The sequence below is a fragment of the Homo sapiens genome, chromosome 6, assembly GCF_000001405.40.
Source record: "Homo sapiens chromosome 6, GRCh38.p14 Primary Assembly".
NCBI lineage: Eukaryota > Metazoa > Chordata > Mammalia > Primates > Hominidae > Homo > Homo sapiens.
In genome coordinates, this window is record NC_000006.12 from 55,324,598 (window position 1) to 55,337,567 (window position 12,970).

General features: G+C 32.0%; 1 protein-coding gene across 1 annotated transcript in view; it reads left to right on the forward strand.

Moving 5' to 3' along the window:
- Positions 1 to 2,871: 2,871 nt before the first annotated feature.
- The window catches only part of GFRAL (GDNF family receptor alpha like), a 75,025-nt gene continuing 64,926 nt past the window's right edge, over positions 2,872 to 12,970 (forward strand). Inside the window, exons 1-3 of the mRNA NM_207410.2 lie at positions 2,872 to 2,979; positions 7,118 to 7,252; positions 9,189 to 9,347. Of these exons, the coding sequence (NP_997293.2) occupies positions 2,958 to 2,979; positions 7,118 to 7,252; positions 9,189 to 9,347 (316 nt within the window). The 5' untranslated portion in view covers positions 2,872 to 2,957. The remainder of the gene's footprint in view (positions 2,980 to 7,117; positions 7,253 to 9,188; positions 9,348 to 12,970) is intronic.

Here is a 12,970-nt window from a genome sequence, read left to right on the forward strand (position 1 = left end):
CAAGGTGTGAGGTCTAGTGCATTTAACTGTCATGAGAATGATACGTTAGCTAAAACAAAATTTATCAAAAAGCAATTACATAAATTTAGGGAATTTTGAATGGGAATTTCAGAGCCTTTGGGATGCTTCAGTAGCAGCTGTGAATGTGCTGGCAAAGCCCAATAAGTAGAGCTGAGGACTACTCATGAAAATTCCCACCGGAGCAGCTGTACTTTCTTCTGTTTCATTTATATATTACAACATTTTACTTGAAATGTAGAATACATTTTAAAATTAGGCACACATTATAATTAGAAACTATCAAAATTGATAATTCTATTTCTACAATGTTCTGATTCAATAGCAGCTTTCATTTAAATAATCGAGAGTATTATTTTCGTAGACATTAAATTTGGGTTTATGAATTTGAGGTTCTATAATTTGCTTGGGGTAAAATTGTGTTATCTTTTTACTAAACTCATTGAAATTCAGTACTTCCTGTGCTATCTTTGTCACTAATAGAAGTTACAGATATTTTTATATAACATTTTATTAGTGGAAGTTCTTTCAAATTAGGATCTGTGATAATCACTACACTGAAACAACAATATTTTTAGACTCACTTAGATCTTGATATTTCCTTCTGCAATGAGGAAGCATATGTATTACTTTATCACAAATTTAAAACATATTTTGACAAGTATATTTTAACATACTTAATTTCCTTTATGATCTTTAAAATTTTTTTTTGCCATGAAAATATTATCCTGAGAAGGAGTCTATACACAAAGAGGACTGATGGCTCAATGAACAGGCATTCAGTGGTAACACAGCTGATATTATTTTGTGTTGGATAAACAGCTATATGACCACAGGTGCTTTCTATACCTATAAGTTATAGACCGAAGCAGCTGTACTTGTCTGGCAAAGATTAGCACCATTCACAGGGTCTTATATTCAGGTTCTGTGGATCACTGCACTCTAGAAAGTCATAACTATATCGCCTTCCTTGAACAGAAAATTATGTTATTCTCTTCCTTTGTTTCATAAGTTTATTTTCCTTGTGGTTGCTCTTCTTAAACTCAGCACTTAGATACATTACTAAGCATGTGGTTTTTGCTGCCCCAAGATCCCTTCAGCTGCTTCTTCTAATACCATAATTTTCCTTCGTGATGCACACCTTCTGCACCATCAGATTCTGTGCTTTGAAAAGGGCCAACTACACTGACAACCTGTATCTATGATACTGGACATGGGGTAAGTTCCTTTTGTAAAATTGATTGGCACTTGACACATCTAGAACTGATGTGACTTAATTCTGCAACTTTAATAGTAAAAGAATGACACTTTCTACCCTGCTTTCTAAGAGAGAAGGATGTTTGCCAAGGGCTTCACAGCCATCTTCCCACCAGAAGGAAATAGCCTTTCTGGGAATAGAACTGGTAGAGAAGAATGCAGGTAAGAGACAGGAGGAAACAAACAACTTAGACCCAGAGAAAACAGTTTAAAACACACCTGAAATTAATTCTTCCCACGGACTCTTCAACTATGGTAGTAACCAACTCTGTCCTAGTTTAAGTCCTTTTAAGTTGGCTTATATCTAAGCTTGTCTTGGTAGAAGTCATTAGGAAAGTTTAGTGACTCAATCCCTTGAAAAGAAGAAAAGATTGATTAATTTTATGATATTATAATCCTTCTATTATGTAATAATTAAGTCAGTGAATGTAATATAATCAATTTTTTTGTGATATAAGCCCCTCATATACATACCTTATATTACAGCAAGAATTAATACAATTGACACATTTTACAAAGGAGTGAATAACTTCCAATGCTAAGTCACTCATCTAGATCTATAGAGAAAAGCAGTGTTATAATTTTTGTTTGTTGGACTCTAGAGTCTGTGTTTTTTCATTATGCCTGCTGAAAACAAAATATAGTATAACTTCTCTACTGGTATAAAATAAACATGAACAATATGCAATCAAAAACTCAATGGTGTAACTGCACAAATACTTCTCTCCCATCCCTATCTCTTCTTAATTTCTTGCCAAAGCAGCATTTTATTTTTTAAGCATTCATTCTAGAAAGGCCTCCAGGTGATTTAGAAATAGAAGTCTCATGACACCCCAAGAAAGATGATGTGCTGTAGGTTTACATGAGGAAGGGCGTAGCCAAACCAAGGCATAAGATAAATAAGTCCCTTCATTGAAACTAGGAAAAAAAATAGTTGTCAAGTGATGCACACAAATGTAGATGATTATCTTTCCAGTGGAACATAGAATTTCTGCATCACTGAGAAGAGTATGTTTTTTACACTGTAGCTGTACTTGGAAGGTATCAGATACTGTAGCTGAAGTGGCATAATTTTTAAGCATACTGGGGTTTGTGGCACATGTAATACAACATTCTTTGTTTGGGAAGCAGCTTCCCAGTATGTTTGAGTTATATCAGGCTAATTCTAGTAGAACTTCGATTTTGCATACATTTTCCAGGGCTATTATGCGTTTTTAGCTTTTCTATATCCTCAAATGACATGAAATTGCCTTAATGAGGCTAATTAAACAAGTGGAGACTGAGTATGCTCAAGTGTCTTTGAAAATTTTGGGTCATATTTGGGAGGCTTTTACGTAGTGTTGTATTTTAGTTAAGGAAAATAAACCTTTTTCATGAACGTGCAGATTATGTATCATTTCTCTTAGTATTTGGCTCATGGGCTTTCTTAGAGGCATAATATCCTAATATTCAAGACCAGCACCCTCAGGAGAATAATCGAATTTGAATATAATTAGAACAGTTCACAACTTAGGAAACACTGGGGAGGAAATGATGATATAGGAAGCTGACTTGAATTGGTAATGCCTTTAGGAAGCAAACACAGAGGCTGAAGCCTTATTCTGGACAGTTACTCTTAAGAAAGTTGTCAGAAGAAACGCATCTGCCTTTTTTTCCAGGTGAACTGCCGTGAGTTGTCCAGCATGATAGTGTTTATTTTCTTGGGTAAGTGAATGGTGCTTCTGGTTTATCTGAATTATTCATAATACTAATTCTTTGTAAACTGAATACCATCACACTTAAGCTTAACAGGGGCTTATAATATGAAGTACCAAGTAAATTACAAATTTATGCTTTAACATGGTTTATTCTTCTTGCAAAAATGTACACTCACTTTTACTCACTTATTTCTAACTCTATAGATAATGCAGCATGTGAAAATTGTATTAATCTCTCAGCTTGTTTCTGTTTTATTGTATAGAATGACCCAATGACTTTGAGTTACTTATTAGGATTAATGGAATTCACACATGTGTTAGAACCTTTTAGAAATAAAAATAAAACCTTCCAGTATCTATTTACAAGTTATAAGATGAAAAATTTCAAACTGTTATCTATTTTATTTATTTTGCTTTGAAATTAAACAAAAATAAGATTAATTTAAAACATTCAATTTACCTACAGTGTTAATATTTGCTAACTAGAAGTAATTTAGTGAAGTAAAACCACTTAACACCATATCAGAATGCTTCATATTTTCATTAATTTTTATGACCTAGAACTCAAGTGTGGACTTACTTCTCTTGTATTGGATCCGATGAATGTATTATAAGATGTTGATGAAAAATAATTTATTTTTATTTAATGTAGAATCCATGAATCTATTTGCTAGATGTGTGACTGGAGAATATTTTATATCTTCTTTAGCATTTGGTAGAATCTATAAACTGAATTCAGAAAAGGAATAATTGTAACTGTAGCTAGATTGTAATTTTAAAAATATGGCATTTTATGTTTAAGCTAATATATACTTGAATAAAGGCATAATTATGGGCCAGAAAGCAAAGAAGTTTACTTTAAATTGTATCGAACATAAAAGGAGAGTCATATCAAGTCAAGGAAACAAGTTAAGAAGGAGAGAAATCCCTTATATTTTCAGTTTTTCTTTTGTTTAAGTAATATTTTTCCATTGTTCCATAATTTTGCTTTTTGTAATTATTCCTAAAATATTTTCTTATTTTTATAAAGATTGTTAATATTTCTTTAGTTCTTTTTTGTGATAAAGAGAAATATAGGAAACTTTAATTTTTATAGATCAGGCAGCAATATAATGAAGCTCACAAAATACATTACAGACTCATTATGACCTCAGTTGAAAAGGCAATGGCCTCTTATTTTCATCTTTTACTTCTAAATTAACTTGACACCAGGTTGCATGAAGGAGGGAAATAACTTCTTAACATTGTTAGAACTAAAATTATACTATTTGATATGTTGTACCAACATTTCCCATATTATATTTTTTAGAATGCTTGTTTGACATTATCTAAATAGGTCTTATAATGAGGAAAATGTCTGTTGGTAAAGAAATGTGGAAAACAATGAATTTTAAAATCTCAGAACATTTAGTAGGATAATAAGCCCCATACATCTTTAAAACACTGATATAATTTGCAGCATTATCCATCTTATTAATTTAAAAATAGAAGTTATTTTTCATTGAGTATTACAGGAAAATTCTTGAAAAATCCTAGGTTAAATACAAAACCACAAGTCATAGTTTGGAATGAATAAGACAGATTTTGGAGAGGTAATACATTCTTGATTCTTGTGGACCAAATCATTGAGGTGGTTTTCTTAGTTGAGTCAATATTTTGTTGAGTAGGAAGTGTGGAAAATCCTATAAAATAATCTATTAAGAAGCTTGTTCAACCAAAAACTGAAAATGTGAAAGGAAGTAAAACATTAAAAACTGAAAATGTGAAAGGAAGTAAAACATATTTGGGGAAGACAACATGTAGTATTTCTAAGTGATTATTACTCTGAAGTACTGATGAAGTTTTGATGATATATCTGGGATATTATCACTTATAAGATTCTTGAAGGGGCTTTTCACAAGATATAATGATTAATGGCAAATAAAATACCATTTTCTTATAAGTTGAGTTTATGACTTCAAATTTCTATTTCTGGGTCTTTGGAAAACTGGATTTGACCAAGTAAATTTGTGCTAGGATCAAAAGAGTCCTCTTTTTCTTTCTTTGGGCTAGCCAAATAAGGAGTACAAGGGCTTGGCTAGATGAGGTTGTCCATGAACACATGAGAAAACAGAAAGCTGATATGTCCATTTCCACTCCAGCCCTCAGCAAGAAAAATGTTACCAAGCTACACCCATGGGCCTAATCTCCAAATGCAGTGACCCAGCAAGTAGTACACATGGTCCAATCAGTTGTCTTGGATTCTTCTTATAAGATGAGATTTGCAAAGAGGTAAGATTTAAAAAAAAAAGAGAGATTTCAAGCCCTTACTTGAAGCCTATCACTCTACATTGTCACAGGTGATTCATAATTAACAACAGCATTTAAAAATTCAAATAATTTGGCTCTTATTTAGTTATAGCTTGACTCTCTTGATGACAGTTACTACAACTGTCTCTGTAACACAATTTCAATCCCTGTATTTTTTTCTATTAATTGATTTGGCTAGTGTCACTTCATATGTTTGCAGAATCAATTTGACTAACTTGCGTAACATATTAAATTAACATTGCTATTTTCTTGATTGTTTTTAGAAAACTTGCTGGATTTCTCCTCTAGCAAAAGTAACTTGTAAATATCTGGAAGGTATTATTTTTTAGATGTTATCAGTTATTTATATATCTTATATATAAACATCTAATAACTTGGGTATAAGCCAATATTCATTTATTGAATACCTATACTGCATCACTGTGTTTGGTGACAAAAATACAGTTATAAATTATCCTTAATGTCTGTGGGTAAAGCTGTACAATCCAGTGGTGGAGACAGGCACATGAATATATACACTACAGAACAGTAAAATCTGTAATTGCGGGATCCCCACAGTTCTAGTAAATGGATGGAAGATGTCAAATTCAATTTGAGTGTGGAAAAAGGGGAGTATAGAATTCAAGTAAAGTTTCCAGAAAATAGCTAATGATTGTGTTCAGTTTTAAACAACAAAAAGGGTTATTCCAGAAGAAAAAGAAAGAAAATACTTATCAGGGATCAGACAGTAGGTATGCAGAGGTAGAAGACAGCATGGATCATTCGGGAAACGATAAATGCTTGAGACCTTCCAGATTGCACATGGTGAGGAATATGAGAGCCCTGATATGAGAAATAGTTTAAAGGATATAAAACAGAAAAATGGCAAGACTAGAATAGTACATCAGGTAGATTAGGGGTTACAAAGAACCTATCTGAATAAGGTTCTGAATAAGATTCAAACTGGAGGCAGACTGACTAATAAGTTAAACAAATGCTCAAAGTGAAAGTCAATAAATTTAGCAAGAATGAATATGGGAGAGTGAAGTTGAGGATGGAAAATAGTCTACCACAAAACCAAGATTTCTAGTTTGAGTTCTCATGTTAATTGTGGCATTGTGAATGAAGTAGTGGTCCACAGTGGAACAATGATGATGAAGATCCTGTGAAAGTGTTTCTGAAACATTCAAGTAGAGATAACAATTACGTACCTATGACAGGAACGCTGGAAATACTGAGATTAAATTATACATTTGAGAATCATCAGACTAACATTTTAGTTCAAACCATAAGAGTACATGGAATTTTCTGCAGAGAATGTATAAAATGAAAATAGAAAAGGTCTGAGAAGAGAACCTAAGCTAAAATTATACTTTACTAGAAGAATAAAATGATCCTGGGAATAATTTTAGCTATGGTCAGAAAATACAAAGTGGATAAATATCAAGAGAACAGAAGGGAGGGCTGGCAAAGGAAGAGTTTCAAAAACAAAAAAGTCAACAAAATGGTCAATGGTGAGATAAAGTTTAAAACCATTAAGTTAGATTTTAAAGGGGTAATTAGAGACTTTTTTAAGAGCAGTTTTAATGGAATAATAGTAATAAAAATAAATTATAAGTTGAGGAATAAATAGATGATGAGACGTCAAAATGAGCAAATTTAAAATATTCATTTAAGAATCTATAAAAAGAAATACAGATCTACAGCTAGAGAGGAGGTTAAGGTTATTCCCACCATCAATTATTTCACTACATGTTATTTTCCATAATTCTGCTCTTTATCATTAATAACTTAGATTTGAAGAAAATGGATGCCAAATTTATATTACAACCTTGTTTTTGTTGTTGTTATTCAAGCTATGGGGTTAAGCTTGGAAAATGAATACACTTCCCAAACCAATAATTGCACATATTTAAGAGAGCAATGCTTACGTGATGCAAATGGATGTAAACATGCTTGGAGAGTAATGGAAGATGCCTGCAATGATTCAGGTAAACAAGTTGCTAAAAATACACTCAAATGATTTATTTTTACTAAGATAAAAACAGGATTTGATATTTTGTCATTATCCTAAGAACTAAGTTTTTTTCTATGTATCTTATTTAATCTTGACCCCCATCGATTCACTTTTAATCATGTATTAGCAAATTTAATTACAAAAGGATTTTCTTAATTACTAAAGAGCTTTAATTACTGAGGGCAGCATTATTCAAGATTTCAGATTATTTTCTTACCTCTCTCACCATGTATAATGCTACAATTTTATGCATTCTTCTGAGAACCATGGCACTATTTTTTTTCAAATAAAAGGTTATTTTGATTACATATGTCAATGATAAAATAGAAAAAATAAGATTTGTTATAATAATTGTTGTGCATTTGTCCATGCACAATGTACAATGTATATTCTTGAAACATATATGCGGTATTTCCAATTCTATGTCAAGAACAAGTAAAGCTATAGTTTTGTTTTTAACTTGGCCTACCTTCCAAACATTTGTGGGGAGGTTCAAGAGTTGAGAATGTGAAGATTGGAGAGTGACTGGTATTTTCTTTCTTTTTTCTTTTTTTTTTTATTTTGAGACTGAATCTTGGTCTGTCGCCAGGCTGGAGTGTAGCTGCGTGATCTCGGCTCACTGCAACCTCCGCCTCCCGGGTTCAAACGATTCTTTCTCCTGCCTCAGCCTCCAGAGTAGCTGGGACTACAGGCGCATGCCACCATGCCCAGCTAATTTTTGTATTTTTAGTAGAGACGGGATTTCACCACGTTGGCCAGGATGGTCTCAATTTCTTGGCCTCGTGATCTGCCTGCCTCGGCCTCCCAAAGTGCTGGGATTGCAGGCGTGCACCACCGTGCCTGGCCTATATTTCCTTAAAAAGAAAAAATATATATATTTTGAATATTCAAGTAGCTAAATAAGCATTGAATGAGAACATTATAGTAAGACTCCTTTCATTAAAAGTAAATAGAATAGTATAAACTACAAATAGAATAAAGTAAATAGAATAAGTAAATAGAATAAACTGTCTATGTGGTAGAACATAGTCAATTTATACAGTAGAACATTGTTCTACAGCATAATCTATACAGATTACAGTATAATCTATCTACAGTATAATCTAAAAATAATCTATTTATTTTGATGATTAAACTTCTTGCTACATTTTATAAGGCAATTTAAAATATGTTGTTAAAATATTATATTTAGGTGTCACAAATTGTACCTTATTTAATTTCAGTATACAAATAGTCTTTTGCAGTAAATTGCAATAATATTTGCATAATTATTTTATGTATGAAGCTGAAATATGCGTATTCTCAAATGTACAAATGAAATAAACTAAGGTAGTTTTATTCAGAATAATAAATAAAAGAAAATGTTCAGGTAGAGGATTACATATTTTTAAATTAATGTAGAAAATGAAATATTGGTAATTATGAGACTTATTCAATAATATTTATTGAGTGCTATGTGCCAGGACCACATAATTTTTAATGATAAATTTAGAGCTACCTGCACATATCTTTCTATAGTCTGAGAATGATATGAAAATAAAAGATCAGATTATGACAAAATAGCTAATAAAATAGATAAGCTGACAAAATGCTAAGATTAGAGAGCATTCTGGTCACCTCCTGTAAGAGTAGCCTTATTTTTACTGAAAAGCAAGAAATGATATTCTAAGTAGGAAAAAGCTATTTTGAAATGCAGAAAGTTTTAATATAGAAAGTACATTATGGAAAATATTCAATGAAAATACAGGTTTTTCATAAAATGTCACTTATATGGATATCTTGCAGCAACCCCAGATAATCTTACCATATTAATTAATTATTCAGGTTAATATGTTAAAAGTACTTTGGGGAGGAAGAATCCAAAATTATAATCAGATTAATATCTATAGTGTTATGTGTTTGATTGTGAGATCCAGGTGACCCCTGCAAGATGAGGAATTCATCATACTGTAACCTGAGTATCCAGTACTTAGTGGAAAGCAATTTCCAATTTAAAGAGTGTCTTTGCACTGATGACTTCTATTGTACTGTGAACAAACTGCTTGGAAAAAAATGTATCAATAAATCAGGTAATATTTTGTTTTAAGAAATGTTTATAGTCATGAAAAAGAAAGCAACAATTTCAAAATTAACCACATCTATGTAATGTGATTAATGTTTTTTGTAATTTGATTAATTCTTTTCAAAGCTTTATTATTTTAAAAATTTTGTTGGTATATAGTAGGTGTATCTATTTGAGGGGTACATGAGGTGTTTTGATACAGTTCTTGATGTACCTTGGGGTTCTGTGAGCCATAGACCTCAGTAAGTGCACGACATACTTCTTTCATTACTAACCACAATTCTAAGCTTCATTCGAGTCAGTGGAATTATAGATTCACTCATTCAATTCATATATTTGTGGAGTTTATTGTGGCCTTGCACAAAACCTAGATGATAGAAGGCAAATAAGATATTATCTTTGTTGTTAAGGAACTCAGTGTCTCCTGGGAGAAATCAAAATGTAACTAATTGCTAGAGTTATACTTGCCTTTGCATAGGGACATTTAATCAGGCTAATACACTGGAGTAGGGGTGATCAGTTAGCCTGCATGTACCCTTAACTGTACAACAAAGACATTCCAAGAGATGTGCGAGATCAAACAGTTCTAAAGTCAACAGTTTCCAGTCTTCAATGTCCCTATATACTCCGAAAAGTAATCAGCAGAGGAATGCACCTGTTATCACAGAGTGCTCAATTCTTCTTTCACAATCAACCTTCTCTCACTTTACAAGAGGTAGATTTACCTCTCATCTACACGGAATGGTCTCATCGTCCAATCCAACCCATTCAACCATCCGTTGTGGGCTCATTGGACAAATTTCTGTTCCATAATTTTGCCATTTCCAGAATATCAACAAATGAAGTTATGCAACATGTAGCCGTTTTAATTCAGTTTATTTTGTTTAACATAATACATTAGAGATTCATTAATTTTTCTCATGTGTAAGTTTATTTTTCTTGAAGAGTAGTATTTCATTGTGTGAGTATATCACAGGTTGGTTCCATTCATTATCGAAAGTAAATTGCATTATTTCCAGGTTTTCAGGGATTAAAAATAAGGCTGCTATAAATATTCACATACAAGATTCAGACAAACATAAGCTTTACTTCACTTATGAAATTGTGGGGTCACATGGTAAGTATATGCTTAATGTTACAAAAAGCTTCTAAACTGTAATTCAGATTTAGTGTAATCATCAATGTATAAAAGTTCCTGTTGCTTCATATTCCCAGCAACACATTTTTTTGCCATTCTAATATATAGTGGTACTATATTGTAGTTTTAATTTGCACTTAATTATAATGTTAAGCATATTTTTATATGTTGTGTGCCATCTATCTGTCTATCTTATTTGGTAAAGTATTTCTTCAAAGTTTTGTCCATTTTAAAATTGGTGTTTGGTTATTGCATTGAGTTTTGAGAGCTGTTTCTGCAAGTTGAATAGATTTTTTTTAATCAGAATATGTGTTTTGTATTTTTTTAGTCTGTATCATTTAAGAGTGTCTTAAAAAACAGAATTTTAAAAATTTTGGTGAAATTGAGTTTATCATCTTTTCTTTCATAGATCATACTTTTGATGTTGCATCTAATAAATATTTAATTCACATTAACAAAGATTTTCTCATAAGATCTAGAAATGATGTAGCTTTAGGTTATATATTTAGGCCTATGTTACATTATGAATTAATTTTTGTATCCAGTACAAGATATAAGTCAGATTTTCTTCCCTGCAAATATCTAATTGTTCCACCCACATTTGTGGAAAATAATATAATTTTACTTTTCTCAAAAGTCATTTGGCCATATGTTGGTGGCTCTATTTCTAGACTTTCTATTCTGTTCCATTGAGTTAATTCTGTACTTTTGCAAATATTTTATAGTCTTACTATAGCTTCACAGAAAGTCTTGAAATCAAGTAGTATGATTCCATTAACTGTTACTTGAAAAATAATTTTGGCTATTCTATTTCTTTGTCTTTATTTTATTTTATTTTATTTTATTTTATTTTATTTTATTTTTGTTGTGTTGCTGTAGTTGTTTTTGAAACAGGGTCTTATTCTGCCACCCAGGCTGGAGCATAGTGGCCCAATCTTCACTCAGTGCAGCCTCTACCTCCTGGGTTCAAGTGATTCTCTTGCCAAAGCCTCCCAAGTAGTTGGGATTACAGGCATGTGCCACCACACCAGCTAAGTTTTGTATTTTTAGTAGAAACGGGTTTTCGCCATGTTGGCCAGGCTGGTCTGCAGCTCCTGGGCTGAATTGATCTGCCTGCCTCAGCTTCCAAAAGTGCTGGGATTACAGGTGTGAGCCACCGGGCCGGGCCACTTCTTTGTCTTTCCATAAACATTTTAGAATCAGCTTGTCAATGTCTGCAAAGAATCCTGCTGACATTTTGACTGAACTTACCTTGAAATTATAAACCAATTTACTATGTCGAGTGTTCAGATTTATTAACATGATATATTTCTTCATTTATTTATAACTTCATTGATGTAGTTCATCAGTATTTGATAGTTTTCAGTATATAGTTCTTGCACAACTTTTTAGGCTTCTACAAACACACTTCAGGTTTTGGTGCTGTTACAAATGGTAATTTATTTTACATCTTAACTTTCTATTGATTATAGTGATTATATAGAAATACAATTAATTTTTCTATATGGACTTTATAGCCTATGACTTGCTAAATGCAATTATTCTATTTTTTTGTAGAATCTGCAGGAAATTCTAAATAAATATTCTTGTCATCTATAATAGAGTTTCATTTTCCCCTTTCCAATCTTTAGTCTTTCATTTATTTTCCCTGCTTTATTACCCCAACTAGAGCTTTCAATATATTAAATAGAATTGTTGAAAGTGGACATCTTACCTTTTCACCTGTCTTAGGAGAAAGGCATTCAGTTTTGTACCATAAAGAGTGTGTGTGTGTGTTCTTTGCAGGTTCTCTTTATCAAGTGGAGGAAATTCCTTATTTTTGGTTTTCTTCGTTTTTAAAATCATAAATGTATAAATAAATGCTGAATTCTGCAAATACTTTTTTAGCCTCTATTACTATTAATTACTTCAAACATTTATCTTTTCCTTTTTTGGGGAGTATTTCTATTTTTCTGGCCATTTTAAAATATATAGTAAATTAGTGTTAACTATAGTCTCCCTACTGTACTATCAAGTACTAGAACTTATTCCTTCTATGTTAATGTATATTTGTATCCGTTAACCAACTTCTCTCCATTTCTCCTCCCCCGTGTCCTGCCAAGCTTGATCACATTTTTTCCTTTAGTTTTTTATATGGCGAAATTCATTATTTGATTTTTTACTGTTGTTCCAGCCCTTCATTTCAAGGCTAAATTCTGTTCAATCATGGTGTATTATTCTTTTTGTATTTCTGGATTCAACTGCTAATATTTTGTTTAAAAAACTATGTTCATAAAGTATATTGGCATGTTGATTTGTTTTCTTATAATGTCTTTGGTTTGGTATCTAAGTTATGCTGGCCTGTAAAATCAACTGGGAAGTATTTCCTCCTCTTCAATATTCTGGAAAAGCACAAAAAGAATTGGTGTCATTCCTTCCTTACATGATCTATTTCATTAACCAGTAAAGATATCTGGCCCATGCTTCATTAAAAAGATTTGAAAATATAAATT